The sequence below is a fragment of the Homo sapiens genome, chromosome 5, assembly GCF_000001405.40.
Source record: "Homo sapiens chromosome 5, GRCh38.p14 Primary Assembly".
In the NCBI taxonomy this organism is placed as follows: Eukaryota; Metazoa; Chordata; class Mammalia; order Primates; family Hominidae; genus Homo; species Homo sapiens.
The window spans coordinates 169966520-169991780 of NC_000005.10; the positions used below are offsets into that span (position 1 = coordinate 169966520).

Here is a 25261-nt window from a genome sequence, read left to right on the forward strand (position 1 = left end):
ACTTACAGAGGCCTGCACAGCAATAATTGGAGGAGCTGGGATGCAAATTCACCTGTGGGTGAATTCAAATCACCACACTCAGCATAGGACCTGGCTCCATACCCTTATTTTACAGGTGAGGAAGAGGAAGGAAAAGCAATCCTGGCACACAGGGACAGCAAGTGGCAGGACAGAGCTGAGACTATGGTCTCCTCACTCTGGGACAAGTGTTGTTTCCTACTACCTCCATGGAAAATGAGGCCGGAAAGAATGGCCAGGACTCCATGAGCTGTTCCCCTCCCTACTCAGGCTCCAGCCATCATGCAATGAGGAGGTTACTTTCCACACAGATCAGACTTTGGTCTAATGTTTTTGAGGAACCTATTCAACGAAAGAGAGCCCTTCACCAATCCATGCGCCATCAAATTAGACTTAAATTAACACATGCTATGTAGATAGCTACTTTCCCAATCTGTGTCCCACTGATTCTTCCATCTGAGACCATATTATATATCCATTCATTGAGCAATTAATGGTGAAGTACCTCCTATGTGCCAGGCACTGTGCCAGGTGCTAGGGATAAAGAGATAAGGAGAAAGTAGGACACTGAGCCAGTCTCTGCCTTCCTGGTCCAGAGGTGGACAGAGATAGATAAAGTGGGTTCCTGAAAACTGCCATCAGTGCCATGAAAGTGATATGCACAGGGACATGAGAACTCAGAGGAGGGCCCTGACCACAGCTAGTGGTGGAGAGAATCCCAGAAGCCTTTCCAGATGAAGTGATTTCAAATACGGGACCTGAAGTTCAGTAGAGGTGACTATGTCAATTGTTTAAAAGGTAGGTAGATACATGTGTTGGCTCAGATGCTGAACAATGCTTCTGGTAAAGGCAACAGCATGTGGTCAGGCTGTCAGAGGTGATCAGAATATGATCTGGATGTGCAGGTTGGAGGGGAATTAGTATAAGTTCTGTGTGGCCGGATGATAAAGTTTAAAGGGAAGAGTAGGAAGAGTGGAAGAAATAAGGCTGAAAAGGGAAGAGGGACCAGGTCATGCAGGGAACCGAACACCATGCTAAGAGGTTTGGATTTTGACTCTGTGAGTAAGTGGAGTCTATTTTAGTAGGATTGAGATTTAGTCTCATTTCCATTATAGAGAGATCACACTCTGACTGCAACAGGGAGAATTGATTAGAGGGGCCAGAGTGGGAAGCAGGGGGTGCGTTTAGGAGGCTACTGCAATAATCCAGGTACTGATGATGGTAGCGTCAATCAGTGCAGTAAGAGTGTAGGGAGAGAAATGAACAAACTCAAGACAAATTTCTTTTCTTTCAAGAAAAATTTCTAAATCCCCATGGCTTGTGATTTATTGAATGTGGGAGGAGCGAGAGAAAGGGTGGAACAAAGGACTATGGCTGGATTACTGTCCTGGCCAAAGTGGCTGGTTCTGAGAAGGAGCACATGGGGAGGAGGAAGAAAGGTCTGAGAGGGGAAGGATCATGTTGACATGTTAATATGAGCTGCCCATGAGGTGGAAATGTCCAGGAGGAAGTTGGATGCTGGATGCATAAGTCTGAAGCTTCAAGGAGAGAAAACCTTCCTGGAATTCTCTTTACTTATCAGAAAAGATCCCAAAGCTGACAACACTTTGTAATCTCATGAGAAATGGCCAAAAGAATGACAGCTTGACCCCAATCATGGGCTGGTTGTTTCAGCTTGTAATATGGCTCAAGGCATTCAGCTAAGCTTCAGTGGCCCTGTGGGCACTGGGATAGCTGAGAAGACCTTTGTCCTTTAAAATCACAGCAAACGAGGCAGTCCTTTTAACCTCTTTGATAGGAGTCCAGCCACTCCCCTCCTTGAGATATTTTTACTGAGTGCTTTCTATGTGTCAGGCATTGAGGATACAGGATTGGGAAGAAGGTTCCTGCCCTTGAGTTTCTCCAGGGCCAGTGGGGACAGACACATGAGCATATGATTAAGATACCACATTACAGGTGGAAGAAACATTGGGGGGTCAATGTTCAGGGGGCCCAAGTGTTCTTCGACTTCAGCATGGTAAATATCCCTATGGAGTTCGTGCAGATACTTGTGAGATGGTTTTTGTTTTTCATTTTGATGAATGATTGCAAAGCTCACAACTGCAGAGAGACTGAGTCTTCGAAATCTTCACATTTTTCAATTTTATCACAATTTTGACTCCCGCTAGTTATTAGGAAGGGTACTCCCTGGGTCAGCTCACTTGATGCTGTGTTAATGGTGATGAGCAAAATAAAAGGAGGAAGAATTGAGTGTGGTTAGAACACAAAGATGGACTGCCCTGTTCTACCTGGCACAGGGAGAATAGAGAAGGCTTCCCGGGAGAAGAAATGGCACTTGTGTGAGTCTTTAAAAATGAATTATGCATTTTAGGAGGCCAAGGCAGGAGAATCACTTGAGTCTAGGAGTTTGAGACTACCCTGGATAACATGGTGATACCATGCCTCTACAAAAAATTTTGAAAAATAGCCTGATGTGGTGACATGTGCCTATGGTCGCAGCTTCTCTGGAGGCTGAGGTGAGAGGATTGCTTGAGCCCAGCAAGTCAAGGCTACAGTGAGCCATGATCATGCCACTGCACTCACCCTGGGTATCAAAGTGAGACTCTGTTTCAAAAAAGAAAAAATGGCCGGGGGTGGTGGCTCATCCCTGTAATCCCAGCACTTTGGGAGGCTGAGGCAGATAGATCACCTGAGGTCAGGAGCTCAAGAACAGCTTGGCCAATATGGTAAAACACCATCTCTACTAAAAATACAAAAATTAGCTGGGTGTGGTGTGGGGCACTTGTAATCCCAGCTACTCGGGAGGCTGAGGCAGGAGATTCACTTGAACTTGGGAGGTGGAAGTTGCAGTGAGCCGAGATCACGCCACTGCACTCCAGCCTGGGTGACAGAGTGAGGCTCCATCTCAAAAAACAAAGAAAAAAGAAAAAAATGAATTGGACTTCATTTGTGTCAGAGAGAGCATCCATGGCTTTTGCAAATACCAAATAGTGAAGAGAAGTTGAGAGCAGGTGGTATGTAGGAGAGTGGGGAGAATTCAGAGTGGACAGCTTTGCATGCCATTCTGCGGAGGCATTCCCTAGAGGGGAGTGGCGGAGGCTGTAGGAAAGGTCACACGTGCAGTGCCTACAGGGTCCAGGCAGATAACAACAGTGAGAGAACTAGGTGGGGTGACCAACTGTCCTGGTTACCTAGGACTGAGGGGTTTCCCAGGAAAAGTCTCCCAGCAGACCAAGATGAGTTGGTTACCCTAGAATGAGGCCAGGCCTTGCCTGCCTAGAAAGGGCCTGCTCTCTTCAGGGGGCAGCTCCTTGGAAATATAGACTGGGATTGCTGGATCTTCCAAATGTCCAAGAGAAACTGAATATCCAAAATTCAATGCAAGTTCTTCTGGTTTTTAATTGTTGACAACAAATTCAAATGTTTTAAAAACATGATGCTGGTCAAACCAAGCATTTCTGTGGGCTATGTGAGGCCTACAGGCTGCCTTTTTGAGGATCTCTGGCTACAGTGATGTAAGTGAAGCCTCCCATGTCCCACCCTGTTACTGCCCTGAGGCCCCTTAAAGGCATGTTCAGATGATTTTCATTATGCAGAGTGACTTCAGTGATCAATCGTTTGGTTTTTAATTTGATGTTCTTAACCAGATTTGGATGCCGTGCACAGAATGTAATGGATCAAAGTGGCAATGAATAGTGGTAATAGGGACATGCATTCCATCTTTTTTTTGAAAGACAAAATAATTGCTCAATGGCTTGTTCTGCCCCAAACCTGGATACCTATTTGGTCAGAAAAGTAAAGAAGAATGTATTTCTCAAATATCAGCCTTAAGGTTCATTTATCCTGGGCATCTGGACAGCCCCCTGGCTGAAATAAGGCTGGGAAAGAACAATCACTTTGTTTGTAGGAAACTTGGAAGGTCAGGGGACTGCTGTTTGAAGGTGGTGGAGGGTGATAGAGTCAACTCAACACTGTGATCATATGACTGGGTTGTAATGTGACTATGGGGAAACCACCCAACCTCTCTGGTCCATGGTTTCCCCATCTGTGCTGCAGGGAGGCTGGCTTGCAGGGTAGTTCCCAAGAATCATCCTCCCCATCAGCTCTCTAACTCTAAGCTTTAACTTTGATTAGACTTTTGCTGGGATTTCTCTGGCCCTGCCAGGGTGAAATAATCAGGGGAGATTTTAAAGAAAAAATCAGTCCAGACAACTGTGACATCTTTTTTCTTTTCTAGATGGAATTAGTAGATATGGGGCTTTAATAAGTTGATCTGATATCTGGGCTCCACCAGGCCAGCTCTCTGAATGGCATTTTTCATTGTGTCAGTTGATTTTTCTTTAATTGAGTGTGGATCCGAATATACGTATGGGAGCTGGGTGCAGGAAGAAACCTTCAAAGGCAGGGGTTTTGCAGTCAGGGAGCCATCCTCTCCAAGACAGGGGAGGGTGGGGCAGCGGGGGGAGGACCTGCGTTCATGCCAAGCTGCTGTGTCACCTTTATTAATGATGACGGGGAGAGGGAGTCAGCAGGCAGCTAATGCGGACTGCAGAGGATGGTAATCGGGAGGTGTTGCTACCATTCCAGAGGACAGGGAAGTGGGACAAATGTGAATTTAAGAGGCAAGAGGTGAACAGAGGGAAAGAAAGGCAAAAAAAAAAATGAGTATGACATCATCTGGAAAATTGCAAACCAATGAATCAATGAAGTATCATTCCCAGAGCAGGAAGGAAGCTGCCAGAGAAGGAGCCAGCCTGCCGGGGAGCTGGGGCCTGACAGGAAGCACAAGCTGGGTTGGCTATGCAGTGCCCTAGCCAGGGGTCAGCCACAGCTGGCACGTGAGCCCTAGGAATGGACTTCCACTTCCTTCTGCCCCTTTCCTCCTAGAGCCTTTTTTTTTTTTTTTTTTCATGAAAGACATCAGAAGGAATGCTCTATCCAAAAGGGCTTTACAGGAGCTCATTAATGTGAAACCTTGGAGTCAGCTTTTCAAACAGTTATCTCTGAGTTCAGCCTCATAGGATTTTTCTCATCATGGGGATCAGCTTCATAAAAGCCAGAGTGTGATGATTCTGCCAGTTTTTGCTGTTAACAGATGAAATAGTACTCCCTTTATAGAAATGAAGAGCAAGGACTTTGGGTAGCTTTCTTTAGTTCTCAAGACCTCGTCAGCAGAGCTGGCCTGAAGGCAACACAGTAGGCAGGTGCCTGCATGGCATCCTATTACCTACAAATTGAGGATCAAAGCCCTTAGCTAGGCATCCAAGGCCCTTCCATATTCTTCCCCTCTAAATATCTCTCGTAGTTACCCATGAACTTCTGCTGTACCCAGGCACTTTGTTCATTTCCACCTCTGCCACTTTCCTCATCCTGTTCCAACATATAAATATGAAGCAGCAATTTCTCAGTATATATACTACCACTCCCTGCCCTTGCCCATGGCAGACATCACTAATTGATTGCCACACTCTTTCCTGCTGAGCTAGGACTTGGCCTTAGAATTATTTCCAACACAACTTCCCAGACAGTCACTACCAATCAATTAAATTAATCAAATTATAAAATAAAATGTATTTTCTATTATTGATCTAAGATGTCCTTTCCCATTCTTAGCTCAATCTCTATCAATCTTGTAGTTTCTCAAATCCTACATGCTCTATGAAATTTTCCCTGAATATTTCTACCCTCATAGATTGTTCCTGCTTATTAAAAGCCTAGTGCAAACCTTACCTATAGCATGCATTTTGCACTTATCATTTAGTATCATAATGTATCTTCCCCTTTATGGATCAGAGCTTCTCAACATCAGTGCTAGTGACACTTGGGGCTGGATCATTTTCTTTGTGGGGGCTATCCTATGTATTGTAGGATATTTTAGCAGCATCCTTAGTTTTTAACCAATAGATGTCAGTAGCAACCTCTCCATCACTTTTGACAATGAAAAATATTTCAAGGCAATGCCCTTTGAGGGACAAAATTGCCCCAGTTAAGAGCCACTGTGAGACAGATAGATAGATAGATAGATAGATAGATAGATAGATAGATAGATGATAGATAGATAGATAGATAGATAGATAGATAGATAGATAGATGATAGGTGGATAAAATCTCCCCTGTTAGTCTGAGACCTTCAGTGTGTGGACCATCATCATACCTGACATAGCTCCTTACACACAATAAGTGCTAAATAAATATTTGATAACTGATTGATTGATTGGGAGTGAGGACTGAGGAATTGTCTAGGAAGCGGGAAAAATGTTCTCCAATGTGGACTAAGAATTACACCTTCAGTGTGTCCTTGCTGCAGTTAAGCACTGCGGAATTGAGCAATGCAGAGTTTGCAAAGGGGCCACCTCCAAGCAACCACCCCCCTCCCCAATAAGCTGTTAGCAGATCCTAGTACCTGAGTGTGCTGTGACTAGCAGATCTCTTGCAGCAGAAACAACTAGAGGAGGGAGGAAGTGCTAAAAGAGGCCTGGATGATACGTTTGGCTTGAAGTTTAATACATGATGTGAGAGACCTTCACTCCTCTTCACTCCTCAAGAAGGAAAACGAGGTAAACTGAAGAAATCCTTTTATCCACAAAGTAATCTTCCCTCCTGGAAGCTCTCTGGCTTGGTCACCCGATGTTCTGTGAACATATTTATCTGCCTGCCCCCTCCACTCCCTTAAACAATAGAGGCTTTGTAAAGGGAGAAAAATGGAAGAAACTATAAATCCTCACCCACAATGCAGCTGCCCTCATTTCCACAGGGGGGTTTAAATCATCCTCTACAAGTGAACCAGAAGCAAACTCTACACATCTCCGGCTGATCACAGACTGTTCCTGGTGAATCAGGAATGGAACTGAGGCTGAGCATTGCAAGAAGTCTTTCTGAATACCTAGTGTGTGCCAGGCTTTTTAAGGGACCCTCTGCATGTGTCTTCTACCTTCATCCTCACTACAGTCCTACAGAACCTGCATGGTTATCCCCATTCACAAAGAGAGAACTGAGGGTCCAAGAGGTAAAATAATTTGTCCAGAGTTCCAGAGCATGTCAAGGAGAGCTGGCATTGATCCCAGGACTTAGGATGTGTCCAGTGCCTGCCGGAAAAGCTACATCTATGAGAAACTAGATATATTTCCCAGTATGCGGTATTGGTACCTCATACAGAACCCTTCTTAGCCTTCAAATCCCAAGTAATGCAGAAAACAGGAGGGGTGTCCTCAGCCATAGAGAATAGTCATTAAGAGGGCTGGTTCTGTCTATGTAACTGTGTAACTTTACCAATTGGTCTATCTGTGTATATCATCTAGCTAGCTTTATCCATATGTCCATACATCCATCTATTCATTCATTCATCTGTTAATTTATCCATCTGTCCATCCGTCCATCATCCATTCCTCCTCTTCTATATAGGCACAAGAGATGTCAATGATGTTTCCTAATATTCAAGGTTAATTCAGCAGGGGGAGAGGTGGTGAGGTGGACGATCACACACTTTTCCTTTCTTCATTGACTTTTGAGGTATGGCTTAATTTTAATGATAATAAGATCATACCATGGTTGCAAAAATGATAGCCTCCTTTTTTTCTAAATTAAATGAAAGCATTCTGAAGTCAAGCTGATCTAGGCAACCTATATCCCCTCTCTGTTCGTTGGTTTTCTTATCTATCAAGTAAAAATGGTATTACCAACATCTACTGAAAGTTTGGAGGATTACATAAGATAAAGCTTACATAGTGAGTGCTTGACCCATAGTAAGTATCCTATAACTGTTGGCTATTACGATCATCAGTGTACTTTTTAACAGCGTCTAACACATAAACATCTGACTAATACTAACTTCTCTTTCTTCTGGTTTTTTCTTCCTTTGTTATGGCCCTATAAAAAGTCCTTTCAGATGGGAAATGGAGGCTTAGCCTAGTATCTAACATGTATTTAGCCCTTGAAATGGTGATTATTATTACTGTTGTTTAGCCCACAGTACCTCCTGTCAGAGACTTCACATCCTGTTGGGACACCTTTACCCACAGAAGGTTGACCTTGGTGTCATTTTACCCTGGATGCACATGTTTGCAGGAAAGAGTGGGAGCGGAGCTGCTTAGGATCCTTATCCAGAGCTCCATACCCTAGCAATGCTCCTGGTTTTGATTTTTCTCAGGGAGGTGTGAACTGAGGAATATACCGTATTTTCCTGCACAGCCCTTCCTGAGATGTTCAGTGTGAGGCACAGAAGCCCATCGTTGTTGTATACATGGAGAATAAATCCTTGTTTCTGAACCTGTTCTTTTTGCAATCATATTTGTGACCCCCCTCCCCCCGACACACACACATGTTTCCATGGAGAGAGTTAGAAACAGGATAATTATGTTCTGTGCCATTAAAAACTGGGGTATCCTGAATGATAACCCCTCTCCTGGCAAGCAGGCTTCTCAGGTAGGCCCCCAGACTTGAATGGCTTTAACCAGAGACTGGGAGCCTCCAAAAGTAGGCTTCTGTTCATTCAACTCTGCATGACAGGGAGATGAGCCCACTGGACTCAAAGATAAGTGGAATCAATGTAAAACTAAAGTCCATGCCCACACCTGCTGAAGGAGGGCCAGATTCTGCTAGAAAATAATCATTTAGCAAGAAATGCTTGCTGAAGAGTGACAACCATCAGGAATGAGGAAGAGTCAACATTTAAAACATAATTTGTGCTTTTCACAAACTCCTGACCCTAGGAACAACTCCAGTCTAGTGCCTTGGAGATGGGCTGGTGTAGAAAGACATGGAAAATGCTTCTCTAAAGAGGAGAGCTTTCCAGCACACAGCAGCTACAGCATGTTTCTCAAAGTCCAAATCAATGGCTTCTCTTTGTACTTACAAGAAAATCCTAATTCTTGCACTGATCCCATGGGCCTCCAAGGGCCCGTGGGATCAGACTGCTGCCTGTCTCTCTGACCTCATCATATACGGAGCCTTCCCTCAGTCATACCTTTCCACCACACTGAACTTCTTTCAGCTCCTCCGACGCTCCAAGCACATCCCACTTCGGGGCCTTTGCATCTACTGTTCTGCCAGATTTTTGCATGACCCATTTTCACTATTCAGGTTTCTACTCAAATGTCAACTCTTAAAGAGGCCACTATGATCCATCCTATTGAAAATAGGGCAGATACTCCATCTCCATGCTATTGCTTTGTAATATTTCATTAGTGGCACATATCACTATCTAAAATGATCTTACATATATATTTCCTTGTTTAAAGTGTGTTCCCTCTGTTCCTGGCTCTTCCCAACGGGGATGTGAGCTTCTTAAGAACAAAGCCTTTGGTAACCTCAGCTGTATCCCCAGCATCTAAAACCATGCCTGGCACATAGTAGGTGCTCAAGAAATATTTGTTGAATTAAGAAATGTGTGAAAGAATTATCTCACTCTGGATTGCTAGAATATAATTTAAGATGGGATGTGTTCAGAGGTAGAACAAAACTTCTTTCATTTCTGGCCTCTCCTAAGGCAAAGGTAGTCAACACAGGACCCTAACTTTTCAGCTTTTATGGAGGGGGTGGTCCCTATAACATTCTTTTGGAGATGGGAAATTCTATAATAAATTCAATCTCCCATCTAACAAATATTTATTGAACCCATGCAATATGCAAGTTCAACTCTACCTTCTGACAAAGAACAATGAATAAATGGACACAAATCTCTGCCCATGAGAGTGCTGATGTGGAAGACGTGGCGGGTTTTTAAGAGAACACAGGGCTTAGAGTCGGAAAGGCCTAAATTTTAGGTCCTATGTCACCATATACTAAAAGTCTGCATAAGCAAGCTACCTGACCTCCAGGTATCTAACTTTCCTCCTGTATAAAATGAGCATGAAGCTGACCTCATGAGATTACTGACAGGATTCAGTAACTGCTGTGCCTCTGGCACCTAGCACTTGGTGGTCGCTATTGAGATGATGAATGTAGGGCCCTGGGCAAAAGGAATGAATGAATGGAATTTTCTTTCCTTCCACTTCCCCTTGTGATTAAACATCTCATCATATACTTTAGAAGTTTTCAAGTGATCTCAAAAAGAAAAAAAAGAAGAAAATTTAAAGTGATTTCACATCACAGAGCCACAAGCACAGGCTCCAACCAGGATCAGAAGGTGTTAGTTTCAAATGAAGAGTGTGTAATGAATTCAGGCCCCTCTTCGAGCCTTGATTCAAAGCAGCCTGCGCTTCTGGCCCCTTGTCTGTGCTTAAGAGCTGATCTGTCATTAATGCCCACAGCGTCAGGCAGGGGTGCACATGGCTGACTCTGCCGGAGTTGCCATGTTGTACAGATGGAACATGTCAGGGCACACCCAGCATATGCAACATCCAAGTGGCATCTTTCTGTTTTCCTGTGATGCTATGCCTTTGACATGTAGCAGGCCACATGAACCTTGCGGATCAAAAAGCTTCTTAGGAAAGAAGGTGATTCAGTTTATTCTATTGCACAGCAGGATGTCCTGGGTAACCAAAGAATGTCACTGCACGCAAAGACAGACACACCTTCTTAAAGCCAAACAACTGGGGAACTAAGTTTTCGATGAAGACAGTTATTTTTCAGGCTTCTGAACAATTTGGACACTGTTGTCACTTTTCCTACCTGCCAGCAACTGTTCCTGAATAAAAGAACTGTCCCAGCATGCTCTGTTCCAAGAGGCACACACTGGACTTACTGAACAGTGGCATGTTGTTAACCAAAAGCATGTTCAGCGGCAGAGGCTCTTAGCTGTTCATCCCAAGCTGTGATTGGGAGTGCTTGATGTGTCCATAGATAGTCACGGGTAGGCGGAGTCATCATTTCCTCTGTCCAGGTCAGGAATTTCAATGAGCTAATCTGCATAGCTTCTCTGGACTTGAGTCAGCAACAAGACAATACTAATAATAGCTGCTATTATCGAGGGCTTTCCGTATTCTAAGTCCTTTACACAAATTAATTGAACCCTCACCAAAACAGTGTGAAGTAAGGAATATTTTTATCCCCTTTTACAGATGAGGCAGCTGAGGCACAAGACCCTGCTCGAGGTCACAAAACTAGTAAGAGATACAGCTGAGATTTGAACTCAGGCTTTCTGGCTCCTAAGCCCCCACTCTCATGCTTGCATCCTGGCAGAACCAGATGTAAGCTCTTTAGAGTACTGCCTTATCCATCCTGCTCATTGCTCCATGCCTCGCACCTAGCACAGAGCCCAGAACGCAAGGACAGACAGCACACCTTAGTTTTCCCAAAGAGTGCTCCCAATTACAATTCTGAACTGCCTGATAAAGCTCTAAAATGAATAGGTTTTAGAGTCCCTGTTTTTCCTGACACCAAAGCCTCCCACTTCCAGTCCTAGACCCACCACACAGACAGCACCAATTTCATCCAAGAATAAAATCTGTTACATAACCAGATGGCAGACATGGGGGTGAATAGAGAAGCAACCTGTGAGTGCATTCGGCCACTCCTAGTCTCCAAAGGACAGCTCCTAGAAAGAACTTTTCATCTGTCTCTGAGCCTCCCTCGGCAAACTTTCCTTCATCTCCTCTCACTGGTGCTTTCTATATTTTATTTTATTTTGGTCGTGCGCATTATTTGAAGTTACTATAGCAACGTGTCACCAGCTGGTATCACATAGTAATGTTGGCATTTAGGTAGCAAGCTTCCGAAGTTGGCTGTTTCACTCCCTCTGCGATCTCATCACTCCTACTAATCTTAGGTGAGTGAGGGTTGCATGGGCAGGCAGCACCCATGCCCCTCGCCCCTATTTTGTTTGTTTGTTTCCCAAGGCAAGGCAAACTGGTAGCCTTTCCCTCAGTTCACATGGCACTGCAGGGGTCCTGGCTCTGTGTATGTGTGTGTGTGTGTGTGGGGGGGGGGGGGTGTAGGTGTGTTTGCATTAGAGGTTGTTAAATAGATATGTTTAAGTTGAATGTTGTACACTAAAATTATTGGCATTGTCAATATCATGATGATGATGATGATGAATTTTTTAATGCAAAAGAGTGGAATGATTTGGGGAGTGCTAATCTCCTGATCACAATCACCTAGTATCCCAGCTAATTAATTTTGATCACACAATACTGGGTTTCTCTTCTTCTCTCTCACCATCACACAGTGAAGAGACCCTCACTCTTTTCCTTTGGAGCTTCCAAGTGTGCAAGACCTCCCTACGTCCCGAAGGGCTGAATTAATTAAGAGGATTGATTGTCTTGGATCACTGAAGAGGGTTCTGTACAGCAAATAAGCCCTGCCACTCAAGGTGTTAAGTAGTCCCTCATCAGCCAAGTGCCTGCGATGATTGCACTTATTTTTACACGTTTGACCTAGTTTCAAACCGTGTCTCTTCATGCTGTGATTCATTAGCCACATTTTAAACCATCCCAATCGGAGCGAGGTGACACTGTCTGGTTTGTGCCAGAGTCTCAGATACAATTTCTCACTGGAATTTAATATGCAAGTCTCCCTGGAATTCTGTTTTAAGAAGCAATTTCCCATCCTGGCATGCTGCTTGGATATGGATGAGTGGCTGCCTCATTCCTAGGTAGTAAATATGTCGATTACAGAATTTCTGCCCGGGATGAAAAGAGGGGGATTCTTGCTAGCCTGGAGACTGCAAGGGGTCCCTCCACCCCTCTGTTCCCCATGCAGTATTCAGGCTTTTCCAGGTTTCTGACAGGGCTGGGAGTTCGAGCTCCTACACTGTAAAGTTTGAACAACGTCAGTGTTAGGGCTGTCTAAGTTGCTAGGGCAAATGCAGTCTGCTCAACATTCCCCCACCCCTATTCCTATGTCCCCTAAAAATTTAAGACATGGTGGATATGGAAGTAAGGTCTCAAACTTGTACAGAGGGGCAGGACACAAATGCCATTTTTGAGGAAACTACTGAAAAAGAGACACACATCAGAGAAGCAAAATGTTATTCCATGATTCTATCGCTGTATGACAAAAGAGGTGGTTTTTAAAATCCAAATGACAGAAAGGAGACTTTTCTGAATATGAAGCTGCTGCTTGTTTCTCACTCCATTTCAGGTTATCAATCATTCACATCGGTGTGATTTCCCACAGATCTGATACCAAAGGGGGCTAGACACCATAGCAGAAAAAAAAGATGCTTCTAGTCAGAAGTAAAACACTGTCATTTTTCATTAACAGCCAAATGCAGGTAACTTGTCCAAACTTCAGTCACATTGCACTACAAATCGTACCAAAAGGCACGCAACCGGGTTTTTCTACGTGGTAGTGAGAACTAAGAAATTAACAAGCTGGTAAAAGTAATTTTGATTGATCAGTGAACTACAACACACCGACCAACTCCTAATGAAAAGATAATGGTTTTTTTCATAAAACAGCCACTCTCTCTAGATGGGGACTAGAATCCCCCTCCCTTTTTATCTTTTAAAATGAAGAATGGAAGTTTCTCTAAACAAGGCTTAAGACAATTCATCCTTTTCAAGGCAATTCCAGGCAACTTGAGATCCAAGGTTTGTTTTTCTTTGCTTTTTTTCCCCCTTCAAATTCAAATCAAGCCATTTGAAATAACAAGCATTCCATATCCATGCATTTGGGGCAGCCTGCAGTTCTGACAATGGTGGATTTTCCACTACATACCACCACACACACACATACAAGCTCCCAGTCTCACTGTTGATTTAAGCCAAAGCTTTAAAAGTAAACTATTGTCCAAGAGACGATCGCATTTTCTCTCAGAGGATCATCGATCATAAAAAATAAAACCTACCCACATCTCTTACCTTGAAGCAGTGGAATTACCTGCAGAGGATGGTCCCCCTTCCTTGCACAATGAGCCAGGCTTTGACCAGCAGCAAAATTACTCCAAAAGAAGGAATAATAAGTCCTTCATATTGTAATTTTCACTGTTTATATGCAAGAAGTGTAGTGGGTCTGCTCACGTAGGAATAAATAAAAAGCCGAACAAACTGCTCGGCAGCTACCATGTGAAAAGAAAAGACCTCTAGTGGCCACAGGCTGAATTCTTTAAGGAAGGGAGAGGAGAGATGGAGCAGAGGAAACACACGCTCCTGTGTGTGTATAGACACACACACACACACATATGCAGGCACACACACATGCATATACACACACTCCTACACCCCACAAATGCTAAGGTTTCTCCTTTCTTGCATTTGGCCTGGCTGGAGGTAGAAACGAGAATAATGGTTATTTCTTGATTTAAGTGGGAGCTGGTTAAATTAGCAGTGACGGCGGTGTTCTGTCTAGTTTGAAAGGGATAATTTCACACACTCACTACCACCCCCTGGGGGCCTGAGCAGGAAAAAGAATTTGACTCTGGCTCTTCAAGGAGTTGCCTGCCACCCAGTGTAGAGGCTACAAGTTCCCATCAACAAAGCATCATCAGCCATTGTCCCTGAGAGTCCCAGCTTTGTGATCTCCGCCGGATTTGCATGTTTTCTAGTCATTTACGGTGTGTGGGTGTGGTGGTCACTTGGCAGGGAGAGCCAGCTTCCTGGGTTTGTAAGCTTCGTAGTCATGACAGACCCCTTGCTTAGAAGGGCTCCATGGCTGTTTCAAAATTCTGAATAGTTTTAAACAAGGGCTTTGCATTTTTACTTTGTTCTGGGACTCACTAATTACATAGCTGTTCCTGCTGACAAGGAAAGCATGCTATCCCTAACTTCCCAATTGAAAAGAACCTAGAAACAAATGAAAATCCATATCATGGGAGCTACTTTCGGGAGTATAAACTTAAGAAACAGTTTTCCAAAAGGCTTCCTGTTTCTCTACCACTAGAACGAAATTGTAAACCTGGGAGGAAATATATACACGTGTATATATACATACAGGCATACCTCGTTTTATTATGCTTCACAGATACCTGTTTTTTACAAATTGAAGGTTTGTGGCAACCCTGCATTGAGCAAGTCTCTTGGCACCATTTTTCCAACAGCCTGTGCTCACTTCGTATCTCTGCATCACAATTCGGAAATCCAAGCAATATTTCAGATTTTTTTCATTATTATTATACCTGTTATGGTGATCTGTGATCGGTGACCTTTGATGTTACTATTATAATTGTTTTAGCACACTATAAACAAACTTCACTATGGCAAAGTTCACTGTTGTCTTTTTTTAAGAAATTGCCACAGCCACTCTAGTCTTCAGCAACCACCACCCTGATCAGTCAGCAGCCATCAGCATCAAGCCCAGACCCTCCCCCAGCAAAATGATTCCTATTTACTGAAGGCTCAGATGATCATTAGAGTTTTTTAGCAATATTTTTAAATTAAGGTTTATGTTCTCAAATTAAAATTTATATTTTTTTAAACATAATGCTATTGCATACTTAATAGACTACAATAGAGTGTTAACATAACTTTTATATGCACTGAGAAGCCAAAACATTCATGCGACTGGCTTGATTGTGATATTCACTTTATTGCGGTGGTCTGGAACCAAACCCATAATATCTTCAAGGTATGCCTGTATATATTTCATATTTGTTATTTTATTAACAAAAGAGGAACTTTTTTATATAAAAAAGGCAGCAGTTTATGGTAAAAATGCTTTTTTTTTTTTTTTTGGTTCAAACATAATACTTCCAGCCAGGCCATCTTCCACAAGCCCGTGCTTGGCTGGACCACAGTAGAACTTCATTTGGCCAAGATGGCAGCCCCAGTGGAAACTTGCAAGAGACAGTCAAAAATGACTTCTCACCCCTGGTGGATTCGTGGCTAGTGCTTTGTTTACCAGGTTCCAGAATAGATCTCCCTGAATGCTGCTTGCAGACACAGAAAACTCACCCTGATATGGACTGATAAATCTGGGAAAGAGGAAGCAGAAAAGGCTATGCTGATGTCTTCTGGTGCATGAAAGGGTGTGGTTCCTCCTCTGCTCAGAGGGTCTCCTCTCTGTGTCCCTGCCTTGATTTCCCTCTTCTTTGAATCTTTCTGGTACTTAGTTGGCTTTGCCAATTGAGGGTCTTACTCTTTTTCTCTCATGATTAATCTCGCTTTCCCAACTAGATCATGAACTCACAAAGAGCAAGAGCCATCTCTTCTCATTTCTTTCATCCCTCTCAGCTCTTACCAAGTGGCAGGCCCCAGGAGGTGCTGGGTTGCCACTGGCTGATTCCTGGTGATCCAACTACAGATTCCACTGCAGAGAACTTTAGTGCATTTCAAGGTGCTAAAGGAGCCACCTGATTCTTTTGATACTGCTCTAGAGGTAGATTCAGATGAATTATTGTCCCATTTGACAGATGAGACGATTGGGACTTACACATGTAAAATTATTTGTCATAAAATGAAACTGTCTCCATGATTTTGAAATAGGCTGGATTTCCTGACACAAGTACAGTGCTCTTTCCCCAGTGTGCGAACAGCAGGAGAGGTAATGGATCAGGTGTTATGTTTATGTTCGGCACTGCTATTACAGTCCCAGGCACATAATAGTACTCAGTAAATACTTTATTGATGAATGAGCCATAAGGAGACATTTTCTCACAGGGAAGTTTTCCATGGTCCTCTCTCAACTATTTATAGTATTTGTCTTCATTTCTTGCAGAGTCACTTTGTGGCATGTATGACAGCCATCTTAAACCAGATGGGTGACCAGCACTACTCCTTCTACATTGAGACCTTCCAGACCAGCTCTGAACTTGTGGTGAGTCTGCAGGATGCTGGGGGTGAGGAAGAACTCTTCCATCTCTGGAACATGGCTTCTGTCCCTGTCAGAGAGACCTGCCTGTCTATCACATAATCTAGATATGACTTAACCAATATTTGTTGATGAATCACAGACATTTTGGGGTTTAAGAGCATGACTGTTAGAGTCATACATTCTTAGGTTTGCATCTAGGATTTGTCACATGCTAGCTGTGTGACCATGGTCAGGTGAATCCTTTTATGCCTCAGTTTCCCCATTTGTAAAGTGGGGATAATGTCATTTATGTCATAGGGCTAAGAAGGGGTTGCACGAGAACACAATAGCTCTCACGTAGTAAGTGCTCAGTAAAATATAGCTCTTATTAAGATCACAAATGCCTAGAGGAAGTTGGTCTCTGGGCCACCTTCTTCTAGCCTCTCAGGATGCATTTGCTGCAAGACCATCTGCCCGTGGCCTGTGGCTTCTATCTCTGCAGCTGATGACTTCATTAACATAGAGCCCAGCCCAGGCTGTTCCTGCCCCAAGGGTGGAGCAGAGCACACTTTGCCCTCAGTGTGGCCTCCTTTCTCTCTGTCTTGTTGCTACCAGGTTCAGGAGTCCCACTGCTTAAGGTCACTCTCAACTCTCCCTGGAGAGACCAGGAGCACCAAAATTGGATCAACCTCAGAGAGTGGCCCATAAAAAAAGGAATCATTAGAAAACTAATGCCCTACCCTTTCATCCATTCAGTAGTGAGATGTTCTCTCCCTTGGAGTAAGATTGGCAAGAAATGGAACTTTTCCCTCAACCTCCAATTTCCCTATGTCTTAAGACATGGAAATAGAAAAACTGGACTCCTAATTTTTGATCCTGTATGGAAGGAAAGGTTTCTGGGGGAAGAAGGTAAGAAATGGAATTCTTAATGATTGAACATACACATTTTCTTACATAACCCTCACAAAAGTATGACATGGAAATTAGGAGTCACATTTCACAACTCTACAATCTGCTTGCTCAAGGTCCCGTAGCTAGTATGTGGTGGAGGTAAGGTCTGGACATTGACTGTAACCCTTATACCACACTATCTCCTCATTAAGAAGCCACTCTTCCCATCTATGAGCCAGGAGCCTTCTTCATTTCCACAGGAAGGGGATGTGCCTGTGATGATATCCACACTTCCGCAGGTGACATCAAGTATGAATAATATAACAATACTCACCATCATCATCAACAGGTAATGAGAATTTGTAGGAGACCAGGCTCTGTACTAAGCATGTGATAGGCAGTATGCACTTAATCGTCACAGTCACCCTTTGAAGTAGATATTATTCCCATTCTGCTGACGTGGAAACTAGGACTTAAAGTGTTGAGGTAGTTTTCCCTAGCAACAAAGATTGCTGGAAAGGAACAAATGTCATTTCCAGAATTTTGCAACTTAGCTAAAAGCAGTGATTTTCAAATTATGTTCCTCCTATCCTCACTATGCTTTACCATAAACATGCACACACGTGCGCACACACACACACAATTCCACCAGAGCTGTTCTACCTTTATATATTTTATATATTGGGCTCCAGGTAAGGCTTTCTTTGAACAAAGAATTCTGCTGTTAAAATAATTTGAAAACCACCAACTTAAGGAAACAACTCTGAACGGATTTCCTCTAGATTTTAAATTTTGCCTAAAGTACACTGGTGGTATGTCTTCACTACCTCCAGCTCAAAAGGGTCTCAGTGCCAGTGGTTCTGGTCTTAGCTATCCAGATTTCTTTATTTATTTTTTATTTTTTGAGACAGAATCTCGCTCTGTCACCAGGCTGGAGAGCAGTGGCACGATCTTGGCTCACTGCAACCTCCGCCTCCTGGGTTCAAGTTATTCTGCCACAGCCTCCCGAGTAGCTGGGATTACAGTGTCTGCCACCACACCCAGATAATTTTTGTATTTTTAGTAGAGACCATGTTGGCCAGGATGGTCTCAATCTCTTGACCTCATGATCCACCCTTCTCAGCCTCCCAAAGTGCTGGGATTGCAGGTGGGAGCCACCGTGCCTGGCCTCCAGATTTTGCTTTAATTTGTGTTTTCCAAAGATGGAGAAAAAGTATGGCTCACTGCAAAATCTAGTGAAGGGTGCTGAAGTCCGCTAAGAACCTCTTCAAAGGAGAGGAAGAGTTCCTGTCATTGTGTCTCAGCTAATCTGCTCGTGTGTGTGTGTGTGTGTGTGTGTGTGTGTGTGTGTGTGTGTGTGTATGTGTGTGACATATGAATTAGCTGTATTTACAGCACTGCTAATTAGATGTTCATTTTAATAAGAGTTTATTTGCTCAATGACCTGAGATGCTTTCATACAGTGAGATTATTTCCTTCTCAAATACATATTTGTGAAAATGATTATAAAATTGCCACATCAATGAGTACATTTACTTCTTTATTCCCAAAGATGGAATTAATAGTGCTTTATTTTGAGAACATTTTCGCATCCCATATTCATGTTCCACTGACATTTGGGAAACAGCATTCCAGCATTCAATCTTTAAGCTTCCATTTAATTTAGTTAATGAAAGGCTGTGTCCCTTCCCTTTTCCTCCCTCCAAAATATAATAGCAAAAAAATTTGAAGAGCCAACAAGCTCTGAGTTCCTGTAAAACAGGATGACATGTGTGCTGTGCTTCATTGTTTCAGGACTTCTTGATGGAGACCTTCATCATGTTCAAGGACCTCATTGGAAAGAACGTGTACCCTGGAGACTGGATGGCCATGAGCATGGTTCAAAACAGGTGAGCTGCTACCTGCTTCCGCAAAGCTACCTTACCCAGCCCTCACTTCAAAGATCACTTATTTTGGGTTAAATTAGGGACAATTTCTCCTTGCTGAAAAGAAATTAAAGTGTTAAGGCATGCTTTCTTTCTATCTTTAAACCCAGGGAAGGACTCCTCACCAATCGAAGCTACTCAAAAAATCGTCTCCAACTTCTCCATTTTTCAAATCCCAGTTAGAATATCATACTTCATCTCTGAAGCCTTTCGTTCACTCTTGGGACAGGAGATCTTAGAAAAGCATTTTAAAAATATATTATTTTAATTTTTAAAAAGTAATAAAATATATTCTGTGACATGGTAAAATAAGTTTAGGAAGCATTAAATTAAACAGATTTGAACAGATTTCCATGCTGCAGGACTTCTTCAAGCTTTTAATTTGCTAATGTGATTTTTTTCTAAGAGGAGGATTTAGGGTACAGCATTCCATTTGCCCATCCATTTGCACATAGGATGTGCATTTGGTGTGTCTATGTGTGTATCTATAATACCCGTTAACATCTCCTACACTATCAGTGTAACCCAAGTATAGCTTAGATGTCCTATGGCCCAACACAACAAGAGATAAAAGTAATTCTAAACAATTTCAGTCTCTGCTCCTAGGTTTCTTATATCATTTCACCAAAGTAAAATCCAAATTATAACATTCATTAATCTTTTCTAATATTCCCTTGGGTTTATTTCTAATATTCCTTGGATTTCCCCAAGCCTCTCTCAGAACCTGATTCTCAAATCCTGCCGATCAGTTCCTTTAAAACAGCATCTTTTTGGTTCTTCTCTTTTCTTTCTCCCTGCTTTCCTTTGGCTTATTTTATTTGTTTTAAATTCTTTCATGGAAAGCCCTTCAACTTATACTGGTGTCTAGTTTTATCTCCCTCTACCTATTGTTCTTGTTTTATATCAAAAAACCAAGCATTGTCTGGCAAAGATAGAAATATCCCTAGAGGGCAGAATAAGGGGAGAAGTTAAAAAGACAAAATCAGAATTCTCTGAAGTGGAAGGGAAAGAGCAAACACTAACTCAAACTTGCCCAAGCAAAAAGAGAATGTATTGGCACAGATAACTGAAAGAGCCCTGAGGTGTGGCTTCAGGCATGGATGTATCTAGGTGCTCAAATAGCAATGTAGGGAATCTGTGTGTGTGTCTCTCTCTGCTTTTTCTATTTACTTGATTCTCAGGCAGATGCTCTCTTAGTGGGGAAAATGGGCTCTAGAAGTTGCAGATATATTCCTTGTTGTATTTTCAACCACAATAGAATGAAAAGGCTTCTTTTCCTATAGGTACAGAAAAAATCCTGAGGCCACTCTTCAAAGGTCTGGCCTGAGCTACATGCCCATCCATGGACCTCTGCGGCCAGCCAAATGAAATGTGCTATTAAGTCAGGCTTGGATTTCATGACCCGCCTTTGGAACTGGGTCAGTTCTACCAAAACCACAAAGTCAGGGAATAAGGAAAGAAGCAGAGAGAGTAGTTCTTCAAAGGAAAATCTAGAAGTTGTTACCAGAAAGAGGACTAAATAATGGGCAGGTGAATGCACAGATGTCCAGCCTTGATCCAGGGTCTTGGGGTTGGAGCCCTGGCCAGGCAACTTCCCCTTCTGAGCTGTCCACACGGTCCTTCTGGAAGAAACATGTGCTGGGTCCCATGGGAGTGCTTTGAAGGAATATTTCCTCCTGAAATCCCAGCTTCATTCAAACTTTAGTCATTTTTGGGAGAGGCCCCCAGAAATGATACAGTAATCCTTATTTCTTTATACCTAGAAAATTAGAATGTAATTTCCTAACGGACCTAATACATTGGAAATCTCTCCTAAATAGAAATCATAGATTTGTATCTCTTAAGGGTCAGCCAAGTACTTATGTTTTGTACATTAAAGAAAAAAGTTAGACTCTAGAACACAGCCTGGGCTTCAGACTCTTTAATTCTGCCACTTTCTCTTTCTTGGGAAGTCATTTAACCTCTTGGAGTGTTAGTTTCCTAGTCTGTAAAATGGGGATAATGGTAGTTTCTATTTCATGAAAATTGCTTTGTGTGTACGAGGATAGAATGAGTTACTCCTTAGCACAGTGCCAGGATCAAGGAAAATATCAATAATAATAGCGTTGCCATCACTAGGTGATGACAACAAACTTAGCTTTAGACTAAAGAAGCATGTGTTAATGTCAACCAGAAAAGATTGCTTTTTTCTGCTTGCAGGCACATAGCTTAGTTCGAAGATTTCCTGCATCTTCTGGCCAAAATGATCTCTTATGTTTATAGAACACATGAAATGTTCTCACTATTTTTGCATTTTGTATATTATAATAGCTAACATTTATTAAGTACCGAGATCCATCACTGTTGCAAAGGCTTTACATGAAATTAGTTCATTTAATCCTCCCAACAACTTTATAATGTAGAACAACTATAATCCACGCATTATATAAGAGGAAGCTGAGGTACAGAATAGATAAGTAACATACTTCCTGTTGCATTGCTGAAAAGAAACAGAAGCCATTTCATTGAAAACAATGCTCTTAATCTCTGTATTATTATTATTATTATTGTTTTATTTATTTATTTATTTTTGAGACAGAGTTTCTATCTTGTTGCCGAGGCTGGAGTGTAATGGCATGCTCTCAGCTCACTGCAACCTCCGCCTCCTGGGTTCAAGTGATTCTCCTGCCTCAGCCTCCCAAGTAGCTGGGATTACAGGCATGCACCACTATGCTCAGCTAATTTTGTATTTTTAGTAGAGAAGGAGTTTCTCCCTGTTGGTCAGGCTGGTCTTGAACTCCCGACCTCAGGTGATCTGCCTGCCTCGGCCTCCCAAAGTAATCTCCATATTATTAAGTGCATTTTGCCCAGAGAGGTGAAATGACTCTCCAAGGTCATGCCACTAGTGAACAATTTCAACCCAATTTAGATAAACAGAACAGGTACCATGACTTATGCCAGACCAGTGTTCCCCAGAATACCATTTTCTTTTCTCCAAAAAGGTGCAACTTATTCATGTGGTCAGGGCCAACTTCACTTGTCAGTATGTCTGGACATTCCAACTAACTTTTCTTCCTTCCTTCCATGATCTGTATGTTATGATAGTTGGCCTGTTTTTATAATTTTTCTATTATCACTTATGATTTCTGTGTTATGTATGCATTAGTCATCTATTATTTACTTATCTGTTTGTTGGAAAAGGGAGTGGAGTTTTCTAGATTTTAATGTCTCCCCAGCTGTGTACTGTTTGCGTATGCAGACATAGTGACACATCTCCTGCAAGAAATACTTCCTGTTAGAGTGTTTTTCTTTTTGGTAAGCTGCAACACAGTAAGATCTGATTTACATGATGTTGTTAATTTTTAAATGATCAAGTTCTTTATAATGTTGTAAATGAACAAGATTATGCCTAGAAACCTCTTTTACCTCTCTTCCATCTGCACCTCACTCTAGAAATCCAACATTTTGAGGAGGCTTAGGATTTATGCATAGCCCTAAAGTTACCCTAAATGCAGCCAACCACCAAATATTTATTGAATTTCATGAGCATCCAGGGTTGTAGGCAATGGACAGGCCAATTTAAGCTATGGTCCCAGAAGGCAGAGGGCTTACGGTCTAGCTGGGGAAACAATAAATATTCCCATGGAAATGCAAGCTGCAGTTGCTGTCATGAATTTGGAGCCCAGACAGAGACCAGAGGCAGAACAGGGCAGTTAGGACTTATGGCTGCCTGGATTCAAATTCCATCTGAGCAAGATCCTTCACCACTCTAGACTCTGTTTTCCTCACTGTAAAATGTGGCTAATAATGATACCTACCACAAGGATATTTGTGGGAACTAAAATGAAGTAATATGTAGAAAGTAGTTAGAATAGTGTTTGACACATAGCAAGCGCTTCATAAATGTTAGTTATTTTTATTTTATATTTCTATTTCTATGGTTTGGGTATAGCCAAACTACTTCACTGAAGCAGCAAATCTGGGCTGGATCTTGTCTACCTTTTCATATGGTAGTTCCATCAGTGTGCTGATGAATCACTGACACCCATTTTCCCTTCATCCTACCTACCTTAATTTGTAGTGATTATTCGTTTTTGGGGTCCCCACCTCCTCCAATCCATGTAATCCAGAAAGAAAGAACCCTCTTAATGTTTTTTTTTTTCTTCTTCTTTTTCTTTTGAGACAGAGTCTCACTCTGTCGCCCAGGCTGGAGTGCAATGGCACGATCTCAGCTCACTGCAACCTCCACCTCCCAGATTCCGGTGATTCTCTTGCTTCAGCCCCCTCAGTAGCTGGCATTACAGGTGCACGCCACCATGCCTGGCTAATTTTTGTATTTTTAATAGAGACAGGGTTTCACCACATTGGCCAGGCTAGTCTCGAACTCCTGACCTCTGGTGACTCACCTGCCTCAGCCTCCCAAAGTGCTGGGATTACAGACATGAGCCACCATGCCCAGCTTACCTCTTCATGGTTTCATTAATCAGCAAAGAACACCTAATCCTGACATCCAGCTGGCTGCAGGATCCCGATCCCAGAGCCTGCTGCATCCCTAACTGGAATCCCAAATTATGCAGAAAATGTTTCCGGGCACTTGGGGTGAACCGTGTCCTGTCACTGAGCTGGAATATGCTGATTCATTCGAACCTTTTGGCCCATGGAGCATTTTGTGTGTTGTAAAGGAGGCACTGAAATGCTCTGTGGGAGAATAGGTATCCCAGCGGCTCAAGAGGAGGGATGTCTGTGTCTCCCAGCCAATGCTTTTATCTTTAGTTCTAACCAGTAGAATCAACTACATCCCATGAATGACAGGGGATTGGGATTTGGAGTGGCCTTTTCTCTCCCTTGGTGAATCTCACCAGATAGGGCATGTCCGCCTCCTCTCCCCTCTTTTGTTCACATGATACTGCCTGTGGGCATGGTCCACGCTGTGTTGTCACATGGGAGTATTATCAGCCTCATATCCTCCTGCCCCAGAACTTCGAGGCCATGGGCATTTAAGGATAACCATAACAACAACAGCTGACATGTACTGAGGACATCTGTGTGCCCAGGCACTGGGCCCCTGCTTCATGTACTGCAGCTCATTTAGTCTTCACACATGGCTCCTTTTACAGATGGGGCAGTTGAGATTCACAGAGGTCAACCACCCAGCCCACGGCCGCAGCTCAGAAGAGTGGCTGAGTGGGAAGGTGACCCTGGCAGGCTTGCAGCGCCTGTAGGACTCTGTGTGCACCTTCCATTCCTGGGCCTGGGCCAGGGAGTAGTACATGTAGTGTGTATAGGCTTATTCTCGGCTGCCTCCTGACACCAGGATTTGTTCTGCCACATGAAGAGAAGTAGGAAACTGGGGACTTGAGCCAGCAGGCTCTGTGAGGCCTCACATGGAACAGTTTTGAGGGTAGCAAGCCTGGGTTTGGCTCCTCTTTCTGCCAGCTTCTTCCTACTCACAACAGCTGACTTATCTGTTCCCTGCTCTATTGCATATGGCTTCTGGTTCCTCATGGAATCATCTGCCCATGGCTTCTGCTCAAGGCTCAGACTGCGTTCTCCCTCCTTGTGGGCTATTTGAAAGGATGGATCTACTTCTGTCCAGGCTTGGGTATTTCCATTGCACAGTGCTATATCCATAAGACCACCCATGGGCTGCTGGCCAGCCCATACAAGACTGCTTTGAGTCACGTGTTGGCTCTGGACCCAGTCAGCTGTAGGCAGGCAGCAGAATGATGCGGACAAAGTGCGAAGGGCTGCGTGCATGGCAGGCATTAGTGGAAGCATGCCAGTGCCGGAAGTTCAAGGAGCCAGTGTGTCCTTCTGGTTAACTGAAAACACTTTAGAGAAAG

General features: G+C 43.1%; 2 protein-coding genes across 6 annotated transcripts in view, besides 2 other annotated features; one reads left to right on the plus strand and one right to left on the minus strand.

Moving 5' to 3' along the window:
- Nucleotides 1-13976, minus strand: part of INSYN2B (inhibitory synaptic factor family member 2B) — a 119193-nt gene extending 105217 nt beyond the window's left edge. For 2 of the 4 annotated variants that reach the window (NM_001346304.2, XM_047416585.1), the window contains exon 1: nt 13777-13976. The gene's annotated coding sequence lies outside the window, so the exon portion shown is untranslated. Of the gene's footprint in view, nt 1-13757 lie in introns of all 4 variants that reach the window. The other 2 variants (NM_001129891.3, XM_017008908.2) reach the window with 1 other exon arrangement.
- The window catches only part of DOCK2 (dedicator of cytokinesis 2), a 446108-nt gene that overhangs the window by 329245 nt on the left and 91602 nt on the right, over nt 1-25261 (plus strand). For both annotated transcript variants that reach the window (NR_156756.1, NM_004946.3), the window contains exons 28-29: nt 16549-16647; nt 19309-19403. Coding sequence is in view for 1 of the 2 variants with exons in the window: in NM_004946.3 (NP_004937.1) it covers nt 16549-16647; nt 19309-19403 (194 nt within the window). In the remaining variant the exon portion in view is untranslated. The remainder of the gene's footprint in view (nt 1-16548; nt 16648-19308; nt 19404-25261) is intronic.
- Nucleotides 9993-11192: an enhancer, noted in NCBI's record as "BRD4-independent group 4 enhancer chr5:169403516-169404715 (GRCh37/hg19 assembly coordinates)". NCBI's record gives its function as "activates an origin of replication core promoter dependent on BRD2, P300/CBP, MED14 and CDK7 cofactors, and independent of BRD4, by STARR-seq in HCT116 cells {active_cell/tissue: HCT116}" and the evidence as "EXISTENCE:reporter gene assay evidence [ECO:0000049][PMID:35650434]".
- Nucleotides 13926-14664: an enhancer, noted in NCBI's record as "OCT4-NANOG-H3K27ac hESC enhancer chr5:169407449-169408187 (GRCh37/hg19 assembly coordinates)". NCBI's record gives its function as "activates a minimal SCP1, AML or CMV promoter by ChIP-STARR-seq in naive H9 embryonic stem cells {active_cell/tissue: H9 hESC(naive)}" and the evidence as "EXISTENCE:reporter gene assay evidence [ECO:0000049][PMID:30033119]".